General features: G+C 40.0%; 1 protein-coding gene across 8 annotated transcripts in view, besides 1 other annotated feature; it reads right to left on the reverse strand.

Annotated features, from left to right (window-relative positions):
• Positions 1 to 24,863, reverse strand: part of HECW2 (HECT, C2 and WW domain containing E3 ubiquitin protein ligase 2) — a 399,483-nt gene that overhangs the window by 328,484 nt on the left and 46,136 nt on the right. The window lies entirely within an intron of this gene.
• Positions 8,410 to 8,469: an enhancer, noted in NCBI's record as "active region_16909". NCBI's record gives its function as "activates an Ori minimal core promoter by ATAC-STARR-seq in GM12878 lymphoblastoid cells {active_cell/tissue: GM12878}" and the evidence as "EXISTENCE:reporter gene assay evidence [ECO:0000049][PMID:35858748]".

Consider the following 24,863-nt stretch of genomic DNA (forward strand, 5'->3'; position numbering starts at 1 on the left):
GCCTATGTCCTGAATGGTAATGCCTAGGTTTTCTTCTAGGGTTTTTATGGTGTTAGGTCTAACGTTTAAATCTTTAATCCATCTTGAATTGATTTTTGTATAAGGTGTAAGGAAGGGATCCAGTTTCAGCTTTCTACATATGGCTAGCCAGTTTTCCCAGCACCATTTATTAAATAGGGAATCCTTTCCCCATTGCTTGTTTTTCTCAGGTTTGTCAAAGATCAGATAGTTGTAGATATGCGGCGTTATTTCTGAGGGCTCTGTTCTGTTCCATTGATCTATATCTCAGTTTTGGTACCAGTACATGCTGTTTTGGTTACTGTAGCCTTGTAGTATAGTTTGAAGTCAGGTAGTGTGATGCCTCCAGCTTTGTTCTTTTGACTTAGGATTGACTTGGTGATGCGGGCTCTTTTTTGGTTCCATATGAACTTTAAAGTAGTTTTTTCCAATTCTGTGAAGAACGTCATTGGTAGCTTGATGGGGATGGCATTGAATCTGTAAATTACCTTGGGCAGTATGGCCATTTTCACGATATTGATTCTTCCTACCCATGAGCATGGAATGTTCTTCCATTTGTTTGTATCCTCTTTTATTTCATTGAGCAGTGGTTTGTACTCCTTGAAGAGGTCATTCACATCCCTTGTAAGTTGGATTCCTAGGTATTTTATTCTCTTTGAAGCAATTGTGAATGGGAGTTCACTCATCATTTGGCTCTCTGTTTGTCTGTTGTTGGTGTATAAGAATGCTTGTGATTTTTGTACATTGATTTTGTATCCTGAGACTTTGCTGAAGTTGCTTATCAGCTTAAGGAGATTTTGGGCTGAGACAATGGGGTTTTCTAGATATACAATCATGCCGTCTGCAAACAGGGATAATTTGACTTCCTCTTTTCCTAATTGAATACCCTTTATTTCCTTCTCCTGCCTAATTGCCCTGGCCAGAACTTCCAACACTATGTTGAATAGGAGTGGTGAGAGAGGGCATCCCTGTCTTGTGCCAGTTTTCAAAGGGAATGCTTCCAGTTTTTGCCCATTCAGTATGATATTGGCTGTTGGTTTGTCATAGATAGCTCTTATTATTTTGAAATACGTCCCATCAATACCTAATTTATTGAGAGTTTTTAGCATGAAGGGTTGTTGAATTTTGTCAAAGGCTTTTTCTGCATCTATTCAGATAATCATGTGGTTTTTGTCTTTGGCTCTGTTTATATGCTGGATTACATTTATTGATTTGCGTATATTGAACCAGCCTTGCATCCCAGGGATGAAGCCCACTTGATCATAGTGGATAAGCTTTTTGATGTGCTGCTGGATTCGTTTTGCCAGTATTTTATTGAGGATTTCTGCATGAATGTTCATCAAGGATATTGGTCTAAAATTGTCTTTTTTGATTGTGTCTCTGCCCGGCTTTGGTATCAGAATGATGCTGGCCTCATAAAATGAGTTAGGGAGGATGCCCTCTTTTTCTATTGATTGGAATAGTTTCAGAAGGAATGGTACCAGTTCCTCCTTGTACCTCTGGTAGAATTCGGCTGTGAATCCATCTGGTCCTGGACTCTTTTTGGTTGGTAAACTATTGATTATTGCCACAATTTCAGCTCCTGTTATTGGTCTATTCAGAGATTCAACTTCTTCCTGGTTTAGTCTTGGGAGAGTGTATGTGTCAAGGAATTTATCCATTTCTTCTAGATTTTCTAGTTTATTTGCGTAGAGGTGTTTGTAGTATTCTCTGATGGTAGTTTGTATTTCTTTGGGATCAGTGGTGATATCCCCTTTATCATTTTTTATTGTGTCTATTTGATTCTTCTCTCTTTTTTTCTTTATTAGTCTTGCTAGCGGTCTATCAATTTTGTTGATCCTTTCAAAAAACCAGCTCCTGGATTCATTGATTTTTTGAAGGGTTTTTTGTGTCTCTATTTCCTTCAGTTCTGCTCTGATTTTAGTTATTTCTTGCCTTCTGCTAGCTTTTGAATGTGTTTGCTCTTGCTTTTCTAGTTCTTTTAATTGTGATGTTAGGGTGTCAATTTTGGATCTTTCCTGCTTTCTCTTGTGGGCATTTAGTGCTATAAATTTCCCTCTACACACTGCTTTGAATGTGTCCCAGAGATTCTGGTATGTTGTGTCTTTGTTCTCATTGGTTTCAAAGAACATCTTTATTTCTGCCTTCATTTTGTTATGTACCCCGTAGTCATTCAGGAGCAGGTTGTTCAGTTTCCATGCAGTTGAGCGGCTTTGAGTGAGATTCTTAATCCTGAGTTCTAGTTTGATTGCACTGTGGTCTGAGAGATAGTTTGTTATAATTTCTGTTCTTTTACATTTGCTGAGGAGAGCTTTACTTCCAAGTATGTGGTCAATTTTGGAATAGGTGTGGTGTGGTGCTGAAAAAAATGTATATTCTGTTGATCTGGGGTGGAGAGTTCTGTAGATGTCTATTAGGTCCGCTTGGTGCAGAGCTGAGTTCAATTCCTGGGTATCCTTGTTGACTTTCTGTCTCCTTGATCTGTCTAATGTTGACAGTGGGGTGTTAAAGTCTCCCATTATTAATGTGTGGGAGTCTAAGTCTCTTTGTAGGTCACTCAGGACTTGCTTTATGAATCTGGGTGCTCCTGTATTGGGTGCATATATATTTAGGATAATTAGCTCTTCTTGTTGAATTGATCCCTTTACCATTATGTAATGGCCTTCTTTGTCTCTTTTGATCTTTGTTGGTTTAAAGTCTGTTTTATCAGAGACTAGGATTGCAACCCCTGCCTTTTTTTGTTTTCCATTTGCTTGGTAGATCTTCCTCCATCCTTTTATTTTGAGCCTATGTGTGTCTCTGCACGTGAGATGGGTTTCCTGAATACAGCACACTGATGGGTCTTGACTCTTTATCCAATTTGCCAGTCTGTGTCTTTTAATTGGATAATTTAGTCCATTTACATTTAAAGTTAATATTGTTATGTGTGAATTTGATCCTGTCATTATGATGTTAGCTGGTGATTTTGCTCGTTAGTTGATGCAGTTTCTTCCTAGTCTCGATGGTCTTTACATTTTGGCATGATTTTGCAGCGGCTGGTACCGGTTGTTCCTTTCCATGTTTAGTGCTTCCTTCAGGAGCTCTTTTAGGGCAGGCCTGGTGGTGACAAAATCTCTCAGCATTTGCTTGTCTGTGAAGTATTTTATTTCTCCTTGACTTATGAAGCTTAGTTTGGCTGGATATGAAATTCTGGGTTGAAAATTCTTTTCTTTAAGAATGTTGAATATTGGCCCCCACTCTCTTCTGGCTTGTAGGGTTTCTGCCGAGAGATCCGCTGTTAGTCTGATGGGCTTCCCTTTGAGGGTAACCCGACCTTTCTCTCTGGCTGCCCTTAACATTTTTTCCTTCATTTCAACTTTGGTGAATCTGACAATTATGTGTCTTGGAGTTGCTCTTCTCGAGGAGTATCTTTGTGGCGTTCTCGGTATTTCCTGAATCTGAACGTTGGCCTGCCTTGCTAGATTGGGGAAGTTCTCCTGGATAATATCCTGCAGAGTGTTTTCCAACTTGGTTCCATTCTCCCCATCACTTTCAGGTACACCAATCAGACGTAGATTTGGTCTTTTCACATAGTCCCATATTTCTTGGAGGCTTTGCTCATTTCTTTTTATTCTTTTTTCTCTAAACTTCCCTTCTCGCTTCATTTCATTCATTTCATCTTCCATTGCTGATACCCTTTCTTCCAGTTGATCGCATCGGCTCCTGAGGCTTCTGCATTCTTCACGTAGTTCTCGAGCCTTGGTTTTCAGCTCCATCAGCTCCTTTAAGCACTTCTCTGTATTGGTTATTCTAATTATACATTCTTCTAAATTTTTTTCAAAGTTTTCAACTTCTTTGCCTTTGGTTTGAATGTCCTCCCGTAGCTCAGAGTAATTTGATCGTCTGAAGCCTTCTTCTCTCAGCTCGTCAACGTCATTCTCCATCCAGCTTTGTTCCATTGCTGGTGAGGAATTGTGTTCCTTTGGAGGAGGAGAGGCGCTCTGCGTTTTAGAGTTTCCAGTTTTTCTGTTCTGTTTTTTCCCCATCTTTGTGGTTTTATCTACTTTTGGTCTTTGATGATGGTGATAAACAGATGGGTTTTCGGTGTGGATGTCCTTTCTGTTTGTTAGTTTTCCTTCTAACAGACAGGACCCTCAGCTGCAGGTCTGTTGGAATACCCTGCCCTGTGAGGTGTCAGTGTGCCCCTGCTGGGGGATGCCTCCCAGTTAGGCTGCTCGGGGGTCAGGGGTCAGGGACCCACTTGAGGAGGCAGTCTGCCAGTTCTCAGATCTCCAGCTGCGTGCTGGGAGAACCACTGCTCTCTTCAAAGCTGTCAGACAGGGACACTTAAGTCTGCAGAGGTTACTGCTGTCTTTTTGTTTGTCTGTGCCCTGCCCCCAGAGGTGGAGCCTACAGAGGCAGGCAGGCCTCCTTGAGCTGTGGTGGGCTCCACCCAGTTGGAGCTTCCCGGCTGCTTTGTTTACCTAAGCAAGCCTGGGCAATGGCGGGCGCCCCTCCCCCAGCCTTGCTGCCGCCTTGCAGTTTGATCTCAGACTGCTGTGCTAGCAATCAGCGAGACTCCGTGAGCCTAGGACCCTCCCAGCCAGGTGTGGGATATAATCTCGTGGTGCGCCGTTTTTTAAGCTGGTCTGAAAAGCGCAATATTCGGGTGGGAGTGACCCAATTTTCCAGGTGCGTCCGTCACCCCTTTCTTTGACTCGGAAAGGGAACTCCCTGACCCCTTGCACTTCCCAAGTGAGGCAATGCCTCGCCCTGCTTCGGCTCACGCACGGTGCACGCACCCACTGGCCTGCGCCCACTGTCTGGCACTCCCTAGTGAGATGAACCCGGTACCTCAGATGGAAATGCAGAAATCACCCTTCTTCTGCGTCGCTCACGCTGGGAGCTGTAGACCGGAGCTGTTTCTATTCGGCCATCTTGGCTCCTCGAATCCCTTCATTTTAATCCAGCCACTATGAACAACATAAATGGGCTTGCCCAAGCTCAACTCAGGTCTGAGGCAACGTTAAGGGCAAACCACAAGAAAACCTTCCTGGAGTGTCAAATTTTACCCTACATTGAATAATTTAAAACAGTATTTTTATGTTGAAACAAAAAATATACAAAACAGAATACTATATCTGCATGAATTTTTAAAGTAATACATTGCAGAGAAACTTCAGACTTAACAGCAGCACGCTTTGAACCATATTTCAAGCCCCAGGGGTTTATAGCCCTGTCCTAGAAGGAGTCCACTTGAAATTTTTAAGAAACATATTTAAGTGACTTTTATGTCCTGGTTAAAATTTTATAAGCAGTCATGTAAATTAATTTTTAAAAAAGGCTCACAGACTTGAAAACTACCAGGTTTCACTTCTGATTATTTCCACATTTTAAAAATACAATGATAATGATTCCTTAATTTCTTGTTCATAAAGCCCATAAAAGATTGAGTGATTTGGTTTCCTCTAAAAGGTTCTTTTTCCTCTTCTAGAAAATGAGTCCCATAGCAGGAACTAAAAAGATGATGATGGAGGTGATAGCAACTGTAATGGTGGTAGTAACTTTGATTAGAGTTCCCATATTTACCAAGAGATCATTTGGGCCATCACTTAATATGCAAAATTCTTCCCTCAATAAACATGACCTATACTTTTAAAAATATCTCTTTAAATGATTCAATTACATAAATGTGTAATGATTTCAATTATATAAACGCATTACCAAGCAATTAATTAAATATTAACATTGGTACCTATATTATTAAAAATTGACTAGTGGAAAGCAGAGTCAACTGTATTATTTTTAATTACGTATATTAAATTACATAAAAACAACATTACACTATTCTGTTCTCCACATAAGAGGCAGAACATACTTGGCCTCACCTATTTAAAACTGATTTGTTGCCAGAAACAACCAAACACTAATAGATTTTCAAAGTCAGTGGTGAGAATCAGGGGCAGAAACACCAGGACTAGAACCTTGGTATCCTGGAATTATAATCCTGGCCTCAACCAACCAGAACAGGATGCTCCTTCAAAAGCAAAACAAAACAAAAGAAAAAAGGAAGGCTTTTCTATTGTACACATCCAAGGCACTGTCAGCACATCACTGTTTCATTGTTCTGCCCATTCTTCATGGGAGCAGTCACAATTATGTGGTCATGCCTGGTTCTTTTCCTAGTTCTAATAAAAGAATGAGGAGAAAGAATTCCACATCCCTCTAACTTTTCATTCTGCAGAACTCCAAATTTACTGTTTAAATGTTTCATTCAAAGACTTGGGTAACCATGAATGAGAACAGTCAGGTACCTGGAAACTCTCTGGCTTTCTCTTTTTCTACATTAGTGAAATGCTCCAAAAACCGTTAAATGAGACTTCCTTTATCTGTGCAGGGAGTTGGGGTTACCCAGAACCAGGAGAGTGATTTGACTAATGAGAGCAATTCTTGCCATGACTCTCTCATCATTTTCTCAGAAACAGAAATCAAATGAGGCTGAAGCTTATAACCACATGCAGAAGCCACACCACATGGAATCAATATTCCTACACACAATTACCCTGTAATATTTAAGACAAAAGAATGTTCTGGTATTCCAGAGCAAAACCATCCTACTAAGAACTCAAAGGACTTCTGGCTCTTGTGTACCTCCCCATGTGCTGCTAGCTGTGATCAAGAATGATATTTTGGAAGGGGAATATGGTAACATATTTCAGGAGGAAAAACATGTTGCCATCTCCCTTCACACTTTGGTAAGTGACTCAATTTTGTTTGGTAATAGGAACTCATATAAATTATTATTAATACATTTAAAAGGTATTTTATTATTACTAAAAAAGAGTTGAGGTGGATTCTGGTCTTCCACCACTAATTCTCTTTGTGATCTCGGGCAAGTCACAACCCACCTGAACCTTACTTCTTCATCTGTCACACAGGAATAATACCCCTCATGCCAGGCTCAAATGGCTATAAGGATTTAAAAAATTAACAGAAAAGAATGCTACACAAACATACATAAATATTACATTGTTATGAATAGATGGCCAGGGCCTTAGGACAAGGAGTGTGCTCATGTTCATCCATACTCTCCTTCCCTTTTTGATGGCTGGAATCCAGACATGGTGATGGCCAGCTACAACCATGCCAGTGAACAAGTCTACACTAGGAGATAACAATTTGGAAAGCACCTGAGTGACCATGAAGAGCAACAATGTCTGGCCACCTGGCCCACTCACACTGGAACTGTCACATGGGAAACAAACATCTCTGTTCTTTTGGCCATTTTCTTATTGGATTTCTTTGTCATATCAGCCTGCCCTAACTAATACAGTTATTAGCTGGAGGTCACAAATGAACCCAGGCAAACAAAATCCCACTCCTACTTGTTTTATTTGGCTCTAACAATGTTGGCCTACTCAGTATTCTGTTTGCAAGTTTGTTTAATTTTTACTTAGACATCAACATGTAAAAATTAGATTTCATATAAGAATCTAAGATACTTTGGAAAAAGAAAAAAATCAGAAGATCTGGCAATAATTCTTATTTACAAATGGCAACACTTGCCTGCAACTGAATAGACTTGTCCTCTTTAAAGGGTGCATGTGCTGTCCAGTTCCCCAAAACCTCCCACTCTTACAGCAAGCCTGCTTTATTTAGTTTTCCTGTGCTAAGCAAGCCTTGGTAAATATTTGACTTTGCAACCCTCATTAAATAAATGTATGGACATTTAGAATTCTAGGGATGCATACAATGTTATGAAGCTCAGGCCTGGACAGTAATAGATTAAAATAATTTCTACCAAACTCCTCTCCATGAAGTTCTGCCTACTAATTATATTATGCCTAACAGATAACCATCCCTACAGAATCCAGACCACCACCATATCCTTTCTCACCTGGATTACAGCAATAGCCTAACTGACCTTCCAGCCTTCCATCTTGCTCTCCTCTTAATTCATGGCATTAAAACCAGTGCCACCTTTATAAATTGCAAGCTTAATTCCCTCTTTTCAAATGGTTTCATGTCTACCTTTGGATAAATCCTAAACTCCTTAACATGGTTTAGTGAGCTGTCTTATAATCTACTTTAAAATACAGTAAGACAGTTATTTAGTTATTCATAAACAACTAAATATAACAATTCAATTTCCCTAATCAGTAATTTACTCTTACTGGCATTGCAAGGACCCTATGGAGGTATCCACTCTCCACAAGCCACTATACTAAATCCTAACTGTTCTATGGGAGGAAAATAAACTTCTATCTTGTTTGATTCATTGTAATTTGTGGCCTCCTTGTTGCAGTACCTTAAAGTATGTCCTAATACTACACCCAGTGTTTCTCATTTTCTTAAATACACTATCCTCTTACCATGAGTTCTCGCACATGTTCCCTCTAGAACTCTCCCACCTCCTAACCTTCATCTGGCCAACTTCTACTTCAGTTCTCACTTCCTCCGCAATATTATCCCTAACCTTAAGACTGGGTTCCATTTCCCTTGATATGTATTCTAATAGCAGACTTCTCTCTGACTTTCAGCTGTCATTTTACGCACTGTGGTTCATTAATTAGCATAAGGGATGCCAGAAATAATGTTTCATTAGTGAAATGAGTGATCAAGATAAAAAGAGCCCAAGTTCCAGAATGACCTTTAAGAGGAGAGCTGCCTATCACCCTGGTTTGCTGACTAATTCCAAACTATTTCAGGAGGGGAAATAAACTTCTGTCTTGTTCGATCTACTGTAATATGGAGTGACTTTGTTACAGCAGCTTAGCTTGTACTTTAACAAATACACTAAACTTATTATTATTAAATGTTTTTGGCCAGGTGCGGCAGCTCAGGCCTGTAATCCCAACACTTTGGGAGGCTGAAGTGGATGGATCACAAGGTCAGGAGTTCGAGACCAGCCTGGCCAACATAATGAAACCCCGTCTCTAATAAAAATACAATACAAAAAATTAGCTGGGCATGGTGATGGGCACCGGTAATCCCAGCTACTCAGGAGGCTGAGGCAGGAGAATCACTTGAACCCGGTAAGCGGAGGTTGCAGTGTCCTGAGATCGTACCACTGCAGTCCAGCCCAGGCAACAGTGTGAGACTCTGTCTCAAAAAAAAAACAAAAAAAAAAGTTTTCAGGATGAGACCAAGCTCTCTTTTACTTCCGAGCCTTTGCACACGCTGTTACCTATGCTCAGAATACTTTACCACCTCTTAATGTTAACCTAGTTAACTTCTTAGCCTCTGGATCACTATTTAAAAATTGTCTTCTTAGAGAGACTCTCCCTAATCTTGAAGGTCCATTAGATCCCTATCACACACTCCAACAGAAGACCCTGTACCCTCTCATCATCACTTTGACATATTTCACTGCTCTTAGTTTTCTAAAAGTCTCAAAAGCATTATAAGCTCCTTGAAGGAAGAGATCACATCACACTTGTTTATTGCTGCACTGGCAGCACCTAGCAATGTGCCCTGCACACAACTGGCATCTAACATTACGATCTTCCCAGTGTGGCGATTCCTCAAGGATCTAAAACTAGAAATACCATTTGACCCAGCAATCCCATTACTGGGTATATACCCAAAGGATTATAAATCATTCTACTATAAAGGCACGTGCATATGTATGTTTATTGCAGCACTGTTCACAATAGCAAAGACTTGGAACCAACCCAAATGTCCATCAATGATAGACTGGATAAAGAAAATGTGGCACATATACACCACGGAATACTATGCAGCCATAAAAAAGGATGAGTTCATGTCCTTTGCAGGGACATGGATGAAGCTGGAAACCATTATTCTCAGCAAACTATCACAAGAACAGAAAACCAAACACCACATATTCTCACTCATAAGTGGGAGTTGAACAAGGAGAACATACGGACACAGGGAGGGGAACATCACATACCAGGGCCTGTCAGGGGGTGGGTGTCTAGGGGAGGGACAGCATTAGGAGAAATACCTAATGTAGGTGACGGGTTGATGGGTGCATTAAAACACCATAGCACGTGTATACCAATGTATTAAAACTGCACATTCTGCACATGTAGCCCAGAACTTAAAGTATAATAATTTAAAAAATAGTATGTGCAATAGGGAATAAAAGTTAATATTAAAAAAAAAATTACCATCTTCCAGGGCACATTCCTCCACACTGGCTACAATGACCTCTGGAGAGATCTTATCAACTACCTTGCTATCATCTATATTTATTGCTTATATTATTTTATTTTACTTATAGTAACACTAGTAAGGAGAAGGAGAGCAAAGAGGTGGGGAAAAGAGGAGAAGGAGGAGGGACACATTAATTTGGCATAACTTAGCGTGGCTCAGTGAACTCTTCTGTCTAGGCTGCTCCCCAAGATATCTTATTAAGAAAATACACTGAAAATATTTGGGGAAGGAAGTTGAAGAAAGTCAGATAACATACAGTTTCTTCAGCTATCATATTAATATTTTTAGGTGCATACCATGTAATTTTTCTGGTGTGGAGACCAACTGAATTTCCCCTTACTATTCTTACCTTAAATAAGATTACAATTGCATCTTAGTCATGTTTGTTTTAAGACCAAAACAGATGCTTAGCTACTATGTTTTAATTATTTGTGGTAACCAGGAATTGGACAGCTGATCTTTTGGTGAACTTATAAATTATAATGTTATGAAAATGTTCAAACAGGTAATCTTAACCTCTGTAGAGAAACTGTAGCAAAGATCCCTATGTTGATTACGAATTAGCAACCAATGACCTCTATCTATTTCCAGTGTTAAGTTTCTAGCATAAAAATGTTTATTATTGACGTGGGATAGAGCCCCTTCCATAACAGGAAGCAACCTCAACCACCACAAATGAAACTTGCCCTTTAAATTATTTTGAATCACAACAGCCAAGAGACTACTCATCTTTTTTTGTGTGTGTGGGGGGGTATCTTTTATCTAATTCTCAATTCTTCCTCCACCCTCCTGCCTTCCCCTTCAGTTTGCAGGCTGCAGGATGGAAGAGCTTCTATTCCTTAATCTCAGCAAAGTCATATGTATCCTTGTCCATGACACTGGAAAAGGAATATATATATAGGTGTAATTTCATTCTTTATTTTCCATTAACAATGTGTTTAACTAGACAAGAAGCTCTGTTACTGTCACCTTAAACTAGCCTGACTTTTTTCTGGCTCAACTTATCTCACTGTAAAACAGTTATAAGGTCAATGGTAGACTCGAGAATTTAATTAAGTGTGTAAGATGAAAGCTTTACAACTGCTTCCATTTTGCTTTGTATCAAGAACAAGAAACCAAATTTTTCTTAGGACTAAAATATAATACTAGCTTTCTGGAAAATAATTATTGTACATAATTTATAACCTCATTGCTATGAACCACCTTACCTAGTGCATCTGCTACTTTGATACTGTTCATGAGCTGTCAGCTGGGCTGGGGATTTGATTTGTTTTTCTGTTGCTGCTCCCTGATTTACTGTTGCACATTATTCCCAGAATCCTGATTTCATTTGCTTTCACTGATAATATGTATCTGCTAAGAAGTCCCAACTTTGTGTCTAAACTAAATGAGATCAGACAATTTGAAAGTAGTATGTATAATTTTAGCATCCTTTACAAGATCAGGTATTTATAGTTCTATTTCACAGAAGTATTTCCTGACCACAGGAAAGCTTCACTCTCACTGTAAATGAGTCTTCGGTGTGTGTCAGGGCCTCCGTTTTTGTGCAGGAAAAAAAAAAAAATCTTTACTCTACTTTGTTCTTCAACTATGTAGCCCTTCCCTGCCTCATGCACTAAACTGCTCATATGTCAGCATTAATAAACAGGTATAAATTATTAGTAGCAACGTACTCTGAGATCTCAATTCAGTGAGTGTGAAATACTAGGGAGGAATTTGTTACTTTTCTTCTCTTTAAATAATATATAGCCTAAGGAGCATGGAAGAATCTTTTCAGCCTCAGAAATGAGAACGGGGTTGAAATGATAGCTGAATCTTCTTCTAGTCTCTGATGCCTCACTCCATCTCCCATAAATATCAGAAGAGAGTCTGCATATTCTGGTAAATGTAGGCCAGCTGCTGTGACGCAGGAGGGAGAGCTGGGGCTTTGAGATATAAATTTTTCAAAGAGCTAAAAGTAGCTCCCAAGAACCTGCTTAACACAATCGCCTGCCCCGGCCTCAGAAAGCACTTCCATTGTCAGTCTCTACTGTGAAACAAGATGCTGCTTGCTTTGCCTACTCCAGTGGCTTCACCTGGCAGGGTGTGGCTGACTAGAATGAGCGGGATAGGGTAGACATCTCACTGCAAGTCCAAGATACCAAAATCAAATCCTATTTCAATTGCCACTTAGTTCTCCACATCTTAATGGAGAAATTTTTGAAACAGCAAATACTAACTTAACAAAGTGGCTAACTCCCCAACTAATCTATGTCCCCTTCAGTCTATACCAATTTGCACGACAAAACGATTAGGAAGAAAACAAATTGTCAATATAACAAAAAAAAAAAAACAAAAAACCCACTCTCCTTCAACTGCTAAAAACGCTAGCCCCTAAAACTCACATTTAAAGCTTCATCAGTTTCATTTCTCACAACACTCCCATAAGAGAGAAAAATAGATTTCCCAGTTTGTGAAAATCAGTGCTGTATTCATAAAGCTGGCAAAGACTCCAAATGAAGAAACACAAAATCAAGATCAGTACTAAACTAGATGTGGGTGGATCCTTGCCACCACTGTGAGAACTGCAGCCTGTTTACCATGCTAGTTTTGTTATTCTTAAGCGCCACTTCAAACATAATGTATAGCAAAGGACAAGATTCCAAATACATCAATGTTAAACATGTAATACCATACCACATCAAATTTACATGCAGCGGTTAGAGTGGTGAGTTTGGTATAATGCCTTGGATAACATACTAAAAGATAAGAGACTTACTAAAGGCAAATTATAAGGCAATTTAATTATAAGGCTCAAGCACACTGCACTTAGATCCTGTAAGTGAGAATGCTGCATCAAAATCCCTTATCCGCTTACCACATACCTTTCTGGGTCTAATGTCTGTGGCACAGTCGACCCTAAATGTGTACATAATAGTCCTGGATATTCTCTGCCTTACCCTCTCCTCATCGATCCCAAATCATCACAGTCACCTTGGAAATGCAGAGGTGCTATGAGTTCAAAACTAGCAAAAACAGAGAAAGCAGAAACAGTTTAGAAGAAGAGACTCCAGGGACAAACTGCCATAAATTATTTTATGCTGTCCCTTCACGTTTGTCTAGAATGTTTGAAATGGCTCATTTTGTTATGATACATTGCCTGAGATGTCATCAATTAGAGATCTGAGTTAACAAGTATTATGTGTTAAAAAAAAATCTACCTCCAGGGGGATCACTAGACTATGAAAAATACAATCAGATTGCTTTCCACTCTAACATCTATCAAAGAACCACAGAGAGGAAAAAATGGTTGATAGAGGCTAAATAATTTGGGAGCACTTTAGAACAACCTGGAAAGGTAATGTGTGCCCTTAGGACTTACATGACTTCCTAAAAACTTTTGGAAAATAAATACCAATTTTTCTAAATGGCCAAGGGTGGGCATGAAGGACACACTGAACAAGCCGATAATTAATAGGTCTCATCAACCAGTAACCTGATCTGTAAACACTTTGATGCTCCTGTAAAACTTACGGGATGGGACCCTCTGGCTTTAAAGAACTTCTGAGTTCATTAGTTTTCTTGGTACACCTAGGTGCATGGTTTGCCACTCTGAACTGTAGCAGCTGTGAGAGTATTCTGCATAAGGGACTACTGTAAAGGCCACTGGACTACATGAGAGAGCTGGAAAGATCAGAAATGTCAGTGGGCACTTGCTTTCCAGAGGATGTGTCTAAAGCCCACAGATACTAAAAGTTGGCATGCTCAGCCTCACAAAACTCCTGCTGCCTATGTATCTCTGTTCCCACCAACCTTAAAAATTCCTCTACCGACAAGCGAAGAAGCAATTTTAAAAAACTTTTGTTCCCGATAACCACTAGAGTCTGCCATTTTGTTCCCAGACCCCCTCCAAGGACTAATCTCCAGCTTGAAGGAAAAAAGGAGATTATAGATCTCAAAAAGTCACACAGCAAATAATCTTCAGGAGCACATAATCCAACTCTCTGGACTAGGGGCTGAGAGCCACAGAGTCAGTTATTCCCATCATTAATCTGCTAAATGGCCACTGTGCTACTCAAACTGAGCATCAATACACCAAGTTAGAAGGCCACTGAAACTCATTTGATCTTTGATGGCTGCATTGGTGGTTGTGTTGGATGAAAGACAGCAGCCACTGTAACTGAGCAAGTCCAGAGGTCCCCAAATTCACTAGGGACACAAATCACTCACATCTCACAGCTTAATCACCTAATCTCAAACATACGAGGCCAGGAAAGATGAAATTAGTAAAAAGAAAGCAGGGGCGAAAACCAATTCCTTTCTGTTCAATTTTGCCTAAAATCATTTCCATCCTAGGAAGAAGGAAGAAAGCTATTCTTCTTCCTTCTCCCTCCATATCTCAGGCCTCCTGCTCCTAGGAAAGAACAATTCAGTTCCATATGGGGTGAGTGAGCTTTGGTGGAAGAACCTGAACATCTAAACACTACAATAGAGTTTCCAGGAAAATGTGCTCCTAGACATAAACAGAAAACTGACAAAGCGATACTGGGGAAACCTGTGTGGAAACTGAGAATGTGCTGTCCATGTATGGGGACAGGGTGGGAGGTGGGAAGATGGAAAGCCTCACGATGGAAGCCAATAGATCCAAGAGGAATTTAAACATCCAACCCAGAGACCGGCGAGCTACATTCAAAACGTTTCCAATTCAGTTGAAGCTGGAGATCAGGAGGCAGCAAAGCTCTTGGCCTGCCAAGCAGACCAGACAGGGCACAGATGATTATAATTATGAAAACATGTCTAGAAAACCAGGGACAGCATGAACCAGGACGGACAACAGGAGAAGCTGAGGTGTGGCTGAACGGTACTGGTGTCAGAGGCGTTCGAACCAGAGCAACTCCATCTTGAGTGAGGGCTAGGAAAATGAGGCTGAGACTTGCTGGGCTGCATTCTCAGAAAGTGAGGCATTCCTAGCCTCTAGATGTTTATGGTTAAGGGAACAAATTAATCATGTTTACTAAACAGACCCAGACTTGGGAGTGTCCAGATATCCCGATATCTGGAGAACAAAGGCATTCCCAATTTTTCTTTGAAGATAATAATATTGATTCTTGCAAAATATAGCAATTGAGAAAATTAATCCTTTATCACAAACCCTTGTAACAGAGCCCATCTCCCCATATATACCAGCATTGTAGCTAGGGAACCTCCTACTCTGTCTGTGGAGTAGCTGTCCTTTCACCACTGTACTTTCTTAATAAATTTGCTTTTACTCTGCACTGTGGACTCGCCCTGAATTCTTTCTTGTGGGAGATCCAAGAACCCTCTGTTGGTGTCTGGATCAGGACCCCTGTCCTGTAACACTCGTACTCAACAGAAAGACGAAGGAGTCCGACAGAGACAGTCAAGTACCTGCATCGTTTCTCTACCTTACAAAGATTGCTCCCCTGTAACCTCTCCACCTCCTTCCACAAAACGATTTGACCTGAGGCATATCCTCCACTTTTTCTGATAAAGACAAACAAGGAAGGTGATAAAGGAACCAGTGGCTGTCAATTTTTAGAGTGTCACTGAGCACTTGGAGAGCTTGTTTAAAATTAAGAACGCCAGGCCCTGTCCCAAGAGATTCTGTGATACAAGCAGTTCTGGATCACACTTTGGCAAACACTGAACTGCGGTGAGGGCAGTAAAAAGGGTAATATGCTAGCTGGCATAGCAGCCCTACATTCATTCTGGCAGCGTAAAAGGTACACCGCACTTAGCAGTCCTCAGAGAGGTTTTGGGAAAGTTCTTTACACTCCTGTCCCACAGTACATTTTTGGGAGATTTAGGATGGCAGCTTAGATTAGTCTTGTATCAGGGAAGCCACCCTGGAGTTTGGTTAGTCCCAGACTTAACCAGTGCCCCTCTATACCCAGCCTTGAGTATGTAAGAAAAAAATGACTTGTCTTATTAAAAACTTTCAGTTTAAAAAAACTATAACAGTCTCATGAGCTAACATGTTCTGACAATTTTGCTTTTGCTCGTATAAGTTTTTCTCCCAGGTACCTTCATTTTATATGAAGGACAGCTCCAGTGATAAGAAAGGCCAGCTGGCAGGCTGCTCATCAAAACTCACCAGCAATAAAAGCTTAGCAGTCACCTAGGAACCAGCCGCCTCCTCTCTACCAATCAACGCACCACCACAGCAGTTTCCTCGGAGCTCAGGTACTCTTTGAAAGTGGAAAAAATAAAGGGTTTCCTAAATATCCCTGAAAAAAGACACCAAGTGCTTCCAACAGTGAGAAGTGGTGGTCTGAAAGGGAAGACTCGATTCAACTTTTTTAGTCCTAAAAGTAAGGAACTATTGCCCAAAAGGCATGAATAGTGGCAGAAGTCCAGAAGTGCCCTGGAGTCTTAAGCCGAGACTAAAGGTAGTTTGGTGGAGAAACTCTGAGCACTCCTAAGTTCTTGTCTGGGGTGCTCAGTCCCTGTAGGATCTCGGGCAAATCACTTAACCTCTCAGGCTCATTTTTACAAACCTGTGAAATGAGGGAACTCTTCCCTCCCATCCTTCCTCACAGGAAATGTTAAGGCTTACATGTCAGGAAACGTGTGACAACTTTCCATAAAATGTTGGTCAATAAACAAATACTTTTACGTAGGCCGGACGCAGTGGCTCATGCCTGCAATCCCAGCACTTTGGGAGGCCGAGGCGGGTGGATCATGAGGTCAGGAGATGTAGACCATCCTGGCTAACATGGTGAAACCCTGTCTCTACTAAAAAAATACAAAAAAATTGGCCGGCTGTGGTGGCGGGCACCTGTGGTACCAGCTACTCAGGAGGCTGAGGCAGGAGAATGGTGTGAACCTGGGAGGCGGAGCTTGCAGTGAGCCAAGATCCAGCCACTGCACTCCAGCCTGGACAACAGAGCAAGACTCCTTCTCAAAAAGAAAAAGAAAAAAAAGAAAACAAATACTTTTACGTGTACGAGTAATCTCACATGAGGGTCCCTTTGGAAGGGCTTGAACTTGCCTTAAATCTTCCTCAATCAAGTAAGTATTTTGTTTATTAGTCCTTGAGAGAATCTGAATATAAGATAGGTTCAATAGCACAAAAGGAAAGGAATTTTACCACTTTTAAAAAATATAAAGTGAAGAGGCTACCTCTGAGCACTGCAAGGATATGTGGTACATGAATATGCCTTGTTTAATTATAGAGAATTCCAAAACTGATACTATCTTTTGTTTTGTTTTTCCCATGTAAAAAGGTAGGAATGTTTCCCAAGCTATTCAGGACAGCGGATGAATGAGCAGTCACTTTGTTTTGACGTAGGTACAGCTGGAGCACTATGTATGTACTGTCTGAACTACTTTGACAAAAGTAGGCTTTTTAATGTAACAAGATAAGTCAACTTGAGTTGTACTATATTTTTGGGAATTCATTCACTACAACTTGTAACTGTAAACATTGTACTTCAAATGTTTTGTACTTTTCCTTCAATACAATTTTTGGGGGAAAAAAGATTAAAATTTTTTAAATAAACAAATATTTTATCATCATGAATGTTACTCCTTTAAACTTTTAAAAACTGAAAGAGCAAGTAGTTGTTCTACTTATTAATGACTTATCAATCTTTAAATTACTCCCCTAGAGAAATCTGTTAATGTCAATGACATTGATCAGAATTTAATAATCAAGTAAGAAAGGGGTATTTGTGTTTAAGGAATATAATTTATTTTTCTTTCTTTTTTTTATTTTTATTTTTAGAGACAGGTTCTCACTCTGTCACCTAGGTTGGAGTGCAGTGGCAAGATCATAGCTCACAGTTCACTGTCATCTTGAACTTCTGGCTCAAGTATCCTCCTGCTTCAGCCTCCCAAGTAGCTGAGACTACAAGAGTACAACACCATGCACGGCTAATTTTTTAATGTTTTTGTAAAGACGGGGTCTCGCTATGTTGCCCAGGCTGGTCTTGAACTCCTGGCCTCAAGCAATCCTCCTACTTCAAAGCTCTGGGTTTATAAGCATCAGCCACTGCACCTGGTCAGGAATCTAAATTTCAAATGTCATCTTCTTTTTACCATATATTTTTTCTAAAACAATGAACAGGAGTCACTATGAGGAAGCACAATATTTTTAATCACTACACTTTCTCCATAGGATAATCATACAAAGAAATGGCTGTTCCTCCCATTTACTGATGACAGAGAATGTGATTATCAGGAACTAGAAAGAAAAAACAAAGCAAACTTGTAAATGTAGCATCTTGCCAAGAGACTGAACATAAAGCCATCCATCAATGTGCCCTTCCGTCAATCAGTATCTTTATACTACAGATTCCCTTACCAACCTCATCCAAGTTAACCTTCACTAACCAACCACCCAAATAGCCAATGCTCTACATTTCCTCCATAAGATATGCTGAGTGATGCCCACTGGACCTCCTGGGAGCGGCTCTGCAGACTGCCTGTGCACCTCTGTACCTATCAGCTGGGTTGGCTGCCCCCAAAAGCCAACTGTATTTGTTAACAAACCTCTTTATGCCAGCTCTACTTGTTATTGTAATTATATAATTATGTAACATAATTAATATTATGTAATTTAATTGTATAATTTAATATTATGTAAACCACAGAAAATTTGAGAGGAAAAGAAAAAGTGATTATATCTATGGAAACCAAGTTAGATGCTCTGGAAAGGTTTAGTAAAAGGCGGGTAACTAAAAATACTTCTGTCAAATTCAGAATGGCTAGAGGATTGGGAGAAATCTTAAAATTCTAGAAGAAATCTTATCTCAGATTGCTTCCCAAGAGCCTTTAAGTCCTTTTACTAATGATGAAAGCACGGAGGAAGGCTTATGGGTATGGCTTCTGCAAGAAAGCCCAGAGGAACTCAAATTAGCAGATGCAGACTCAAAGAGAAGACCTCAGTTTTATATCAAAAGATTGGTAAGTGTGCATAAGGAATAATTCAATCACCTTTCATGATTCTCTGCTTTAACTGGTTACATTTAAAGATCCCTATAAGAAAACATTTAAAGGTTTTTTTTTTTGTTGCTTTCATTCCAAAACTACAAGTCCCAGAAACCAGAAAGGACTCTATCTCTTAAAAACAAACTCCTTCCAACACCTGAAGATTTTTTCAGAAAAATGTTCAACATTTTCAATAGTATGCAAGAACTATCTAAAGGAATAATTGCAGAAAAAAAGAAATTTTACTTCTATATTTGGTAAATATATAAATAGCAGGACAAACAAAAGAAATGGAATGTAACATAGAAAAAGACAAAGGTGCCAGGCACGGTGGCTCATGCCTGTAATCCCAGCACTTTGGGAGGCTGAGGTGGGCGGATCACGAGGTCAGGAGTTCGAGACCAGTCTGGCCAACATGGTGAAACCCCTTCTCTACTAAAAAAATACAAAAATTAGTCAGACGTGGTGGCGCACACCTGTAGTCCCAGCTACTCAGGAGGCTGAGGCAGGAGAATTGCTTGAACCCGGGAAGCGAAGGTTGCAGTGAGCTGAGATCTGGCCACTGCAATCCAGCCTGGGCGACAGAGTGAGACTCTGTCTCAGAAAAAAAAAAAAAAAAAGACAAAGGCACAAGTTTTTAAAAAGTACGGTAAACAAGAGAGAAGAACAAAAGAACTAGAATTGAAACCACACTGGACATAGAGAAAGGCAAATCCAACACTGGAAAACCGAATGACATGAAAAATAAACATTAAGAAAAATAAGCAGTGGTTAAAACTCATGTTTTGAAAAAGTTCCTACTGACATGGGAAATTGCTCATAGCATAATTTTTAGATAGTTTATTCATATTTTTAGAAAAAGTAACATATGCACATGGTACAACATTCAAAGGCAATAAGATGGTAAATATTGAAAAGTCTCCCTTACACCCTTTTCTGTCAGCCACCCATTCCTCTCCCCAGAAGCAACTACTGTTAACAGACTCTTCTGTTTCCTTCTAGGGGCAGTCCATGTATACAAGCAGGTGGGTATGAAAATAATATAGGATACAAATGTATCCTATATAAATAATGTAGGATACAAAGATATATATGTGCATATATATATAAATATATCTAGATAGATACATGGATACACAGAGAAAGACATATCTATATATAATCTAATATCTAATATACATCTAATAAAATATAGGTATTACATATCTAATATATATCTATATATAGGTATATCTAATATATGTAATATAGATCTATAGATATAGATAGCTATATATTATATATTTATATATTAATGATATATAGGTATTATACATATCTAATATATATAAAATCAGGCCTCAAAATTCAGTTGTAATACACACACACACACAAAGGAAAAAAGGACAACAGTAAGTTTGTCAAATATTAGCAGTTGCTATCACTGGGAGGTAGCATTTCAGTGATTTTTATTTTTTCTTTATGCCTTTTCATATTTTCCAGATTCTATGTAGTAATCAAATATTGCTACAGTCAGAAAATATTTTAGACATCAGTGGTTCAGTAGTTCAGTTAAATACAAATCTACAAGTGAAGAGTGTCACATATTTAGATGCCTATAATTTCTCAGAATTAGATATATATTTTTATATATATAAATTTGTTGTTTTTGGTAAAAAAAAAAAATGTTCTGTGTGTAGAACATTCAAGATACATTTTAAAGTCCTACCCAGAAAGACAAATCTGGAAATATTATAATGTATTTTTAATGTATTTGTAAATGTGCATATAATTATATAATCAATATAAAATGCCATACACAAATGTTAAATTATTGATCTTATTATAGATGTGCAGATGCGAGGTAATTACAAAAATTTAACTTTAATATTGCCATCCTTCTCAGTATGTAATCAGCCTTTGTGTGCTGCTGTTCATATTCTAAGGCATGGTTTAAAAACTTTTCTTTTTTTATTTTTTTTTTCTTTTGAGATGGAGTCTCGCTCTGTCGCCCACGCTGGAATGCAGTAGCGCAATCTTGGCTCACTGCAACTTCCGCCTGCTGGGTTCAAGCAATTCTCCTGCCTCAGCCTCCCGAGTAGCTGGCATTACAGGCACGTGCCACCACGCCCAGCTAATTTTTTGTATTTTTAGTAGAGACAGGATTTCACCATGCCAGGCAGGCTGGTCTCGAATTCCAGACCTCGTGATCTGCCCGCCTCGGCCTCCCAAACTGCTGGGATTACAGGCGTGAGCCATTGCACCCAGCCAGGAACTTTTCTTAGAAAGACAGGTAAATTGGTAATAAAACATCTAGAAAGCCTTAGGCAGCATTCTCAGGGCATTCAGTTCATCTACCCATCAGGCAGTCCCATGTTTCCACATTCCAGGACTCTGCTAGGTAAAGGGGATACAAAGATGAAGGAGGCAAAGTGACTACCTCAAGCAGCTCTCAAAGCAGGCACTATAAAAACTACTGCCAGCATTAAGGACAGTAACCAGTTTTCCTCAGAAGAACTGACACAACTCCACTCAGATCAAGACCGGAAGTATGGCCTTGCTCTTATCCAAAGGCCCCACACAGGCCTCTGTGGGATGGCAGGCCTCCAGCCCAGCCTCTAGCAGGACCAAGTGCCCAACTCAAGCTGGCTTCCCTCCCTCAGCCTCATGAGCCCCTGAAAGGCAGGCTAGAGTGGTTAATGAGGTCCCATTTGTCCTTGAGCTAAGAAACATGAGTCCCTCAGTGTGAAAGGGAAAGGAAGGGGAGAGACGGACAGTCAAGACCTGAACAGCCATCCCCTCCCCTTTCACAGCGTACACCTGTGACTCCCCAACTCCTGATTGCTGTAACCAATCCAGTTGGGGGGCACTGGAAGGTCTCAGCCCACTCTTCCAAAACTACCTCACAATTCCACAGGTACCACCATTTCTGAGAAATGAATTTCAACCTAAGTCATTTGCATAGCACGATGTAGGAATGGGATAAATAATGGTGCTACTTCGCAGACAGCAAGTCAAATCACAGGTCCCTGGAGAGTATTTCTATTAAACACAAAGCTGGCCAGATGACAGGTCCAATCAGTTGTGGCAATTCCATCTTCCTGTTGCCATGCCCTTTTTAAAAACTGGCATACCACACACACAATGTGGTAATCTGTGTGGGAATTCAACAGTAAAGAACAGGGGCTGGGGGAACAGGGAACAGCAAAGGAAAAAGGGCCCCGCAGGACCTCGAACCTCATACTTTGTTTTGCTCAAGTTCAGATTTTGCTTCTTAGCCAGGGAAGCTTAGAAACCCCATGAGTTGCCACATTCTGAGTAGACCCCTCTCAAGGGCAAGCTCACTTTAGTGAAACTCATAAGATCTACATGTGAGTGGGCGTGTGGATGTGTGTGTGTGTGATCACACATACCCAAACACAAAGAATGCTAATGTATTCATTGACAGGGAAAACTGCTTCCTGTAAGCTCATCATGTGGAAGTCAAATAATAGAGTGACAGAGGAAACCTGCAATGTCTGCCTATTCAAATCTACTCCCTCTTACGAAATCACAAAATTTTACCTCTGGGAACCATTCATCACCCATGATGAGAACTTATAATTTAGATGGTTGGGTGGGCACATGTCCCAGGACTGGCCAGTCTCAGGGCTGAAACTCCTCAGTAATTAGTCAGATTGCTAAAGGGTAAGGATATGAGCTGGAACACACTGAGGGCCATATCAAAGAGAGAGCATTGACTGAAAACAAAGCCCAACGGGAGAGCAGAAGGAAGAAATGGAGACAGCCACAGCCCAACAACATCACTATCTCTTGCAAACAAAAAGTCCTGATTAATAGATGAGAGTTTTGATAGGGAAAATGGAACTGGCTAAGGAGAGTTTGTAATATGATTTGAATATTTAATAAGCATTAGTTGAAAGCATTTACACAAGGGCACGCCAGGGATCATCCTTAGGCATCTTGCTCTGACACCTAACCAAGCACACCTGCCACTAACACAGTCTCTCTGAAACCATGCTCTTACATTCAATCCGTTCTGGCAGGACTGCAAGTCATTCTGTCTCTGCTCCATTATACAATAACTTTAAAAGTTAACTCTCAGAAAGCAATCACATTTCCCCTGTTCCCAAGTTCTTAAGAGGATGCATCACTTGGTCCCAAGTACTGAGAGTAATTGAAAACCACTTAATAGATTATAAAATTCTATGTTGCCCAAGAGAACTCAATTCCTCCAAATTAAATGCAATGAATTCATTCCAGTGAATTCTGGCATCAAAAAATCACTTACAGTAGCAAAATGACACACTGAATAGTTTCCAAGTATATATCTTTGACTATATCTTTGATGACATTTTCAATTATGGAGAACACATCACTCATACTTTAATAAAGGTGAGTTCTTTAAACCCACATTATTTCGAACACAAGGAGTTGTTTATGCTCACCACGATAAGAAATTCAGAGGACAAAAGTGCATGTTTGCAAATTTATCTCCTATTACAGCTACCTTTTATGCAAATGAAGGTTTCTTCCTTATAGGCACAAATCCTGTCTGTGGTTAGATTCTTTGAGGACCTCCCCTTAGTGCCACTTCCCAGCTTCTTGTCTTAATTAACCCAAGCCACAAAGAGAAGCAAGTAGTTCTCTCCCCAAACCTTTGTCATCACTTGTTTACACGTCTCCCCTACTAGACTTCAGATGATTTCATGACTAGTCTAGCACAGTGTCTAGCAGATGCTCTGTAAACATTAGTCGAATGGATTTAATTAACTAAACTTGTCAGAATTTTACCAGAATATCTGGCTTGTGGCTTTTATGTCATTGTTTGGTTTCAAGCATCAAGGAAGGTATTGGAGAGAAGTCTTAGAAATCTGGTGTGTGACTTCCCTTTAAGAAACAGTTTATGGTGCACAAGTTTTTAACCTTTGCAAAATGTATCCTGCAACCCTGGCTACAACTATCTGGATCAGGGGTTGGTGCTTGACCTACCTAAAGGTTTCAGCTCTGGACTGGGTATGAGAAAGACCATTGGCTTTCAAGGTGGTCAGGCATGACAGCTCAACCGCATAGGTGATAAACTGTACTGAACAGTGATTAGGCAACACAACAAGATTCTTCTGCAGTGCATTTGAATGCAACTCGTACAGAGAGACCTGTCATATAGGAGAAGGACAGCAAAAAAAAAAAAAAAGAGAGAAAGTAAAAACTGAAATTCTAAAGCAGGAGAGGCCAAGAATAAGCAAAAGCTATGAGGACACTAGGGAGAAAGGAGCATATACAACTGCAGAGAAAGAGGAGAAGGAAAAGACACAGAAAGAAGCTGAAGTAAGCATCGGGAAAGTATGACAGCCACTGTTATGTGACCTGAAACTTCCTCTACAATACAGTATGAAGACTCAGTTAATAAAAGGGCCACATTAAGAGATGGCTACTGTCTCTTAAAGTTTTCAGCTATCTTTACCTCTAGTAAAGAGCTGAGGTTCTCAGTTATCAAAATGGATATCAGAAATGTAGAAATGGGTTTTTACTGTTAAAATCTAAGATGTTCAAGACTTGTGAATTGACTAGAAATACTTCAGGGGCACCCCAGCATTCCATGATGGGCTATAACCTAGCATGTTCAGAAGGCTGGACTCAAGAACAGGACCCTAGGAGGGATACTGCACTCAGGCACAATTCAGATGGAAGATTCTGGCTGTCCAAGGCCAACTGTAAGTTTAACTGAATCCTGCCTTTATAATATAAAAACTTTATATTTGCCCCAAGTGAACCTC

The sequence above is a fragment of the Homo sapiens genome, chromosome 2 (genome assembly GCF_000001405.40).
Source record: "Homo sapiens chromosome 2, GRCh38.p14 Primary Assembly".
In the NCBI taxonomy this organism is placed as follows: Eukaryota; Metazoa; Chordata; class Mammalia; order Primates; family Hominidae; genus Homo; species Homo sapiens.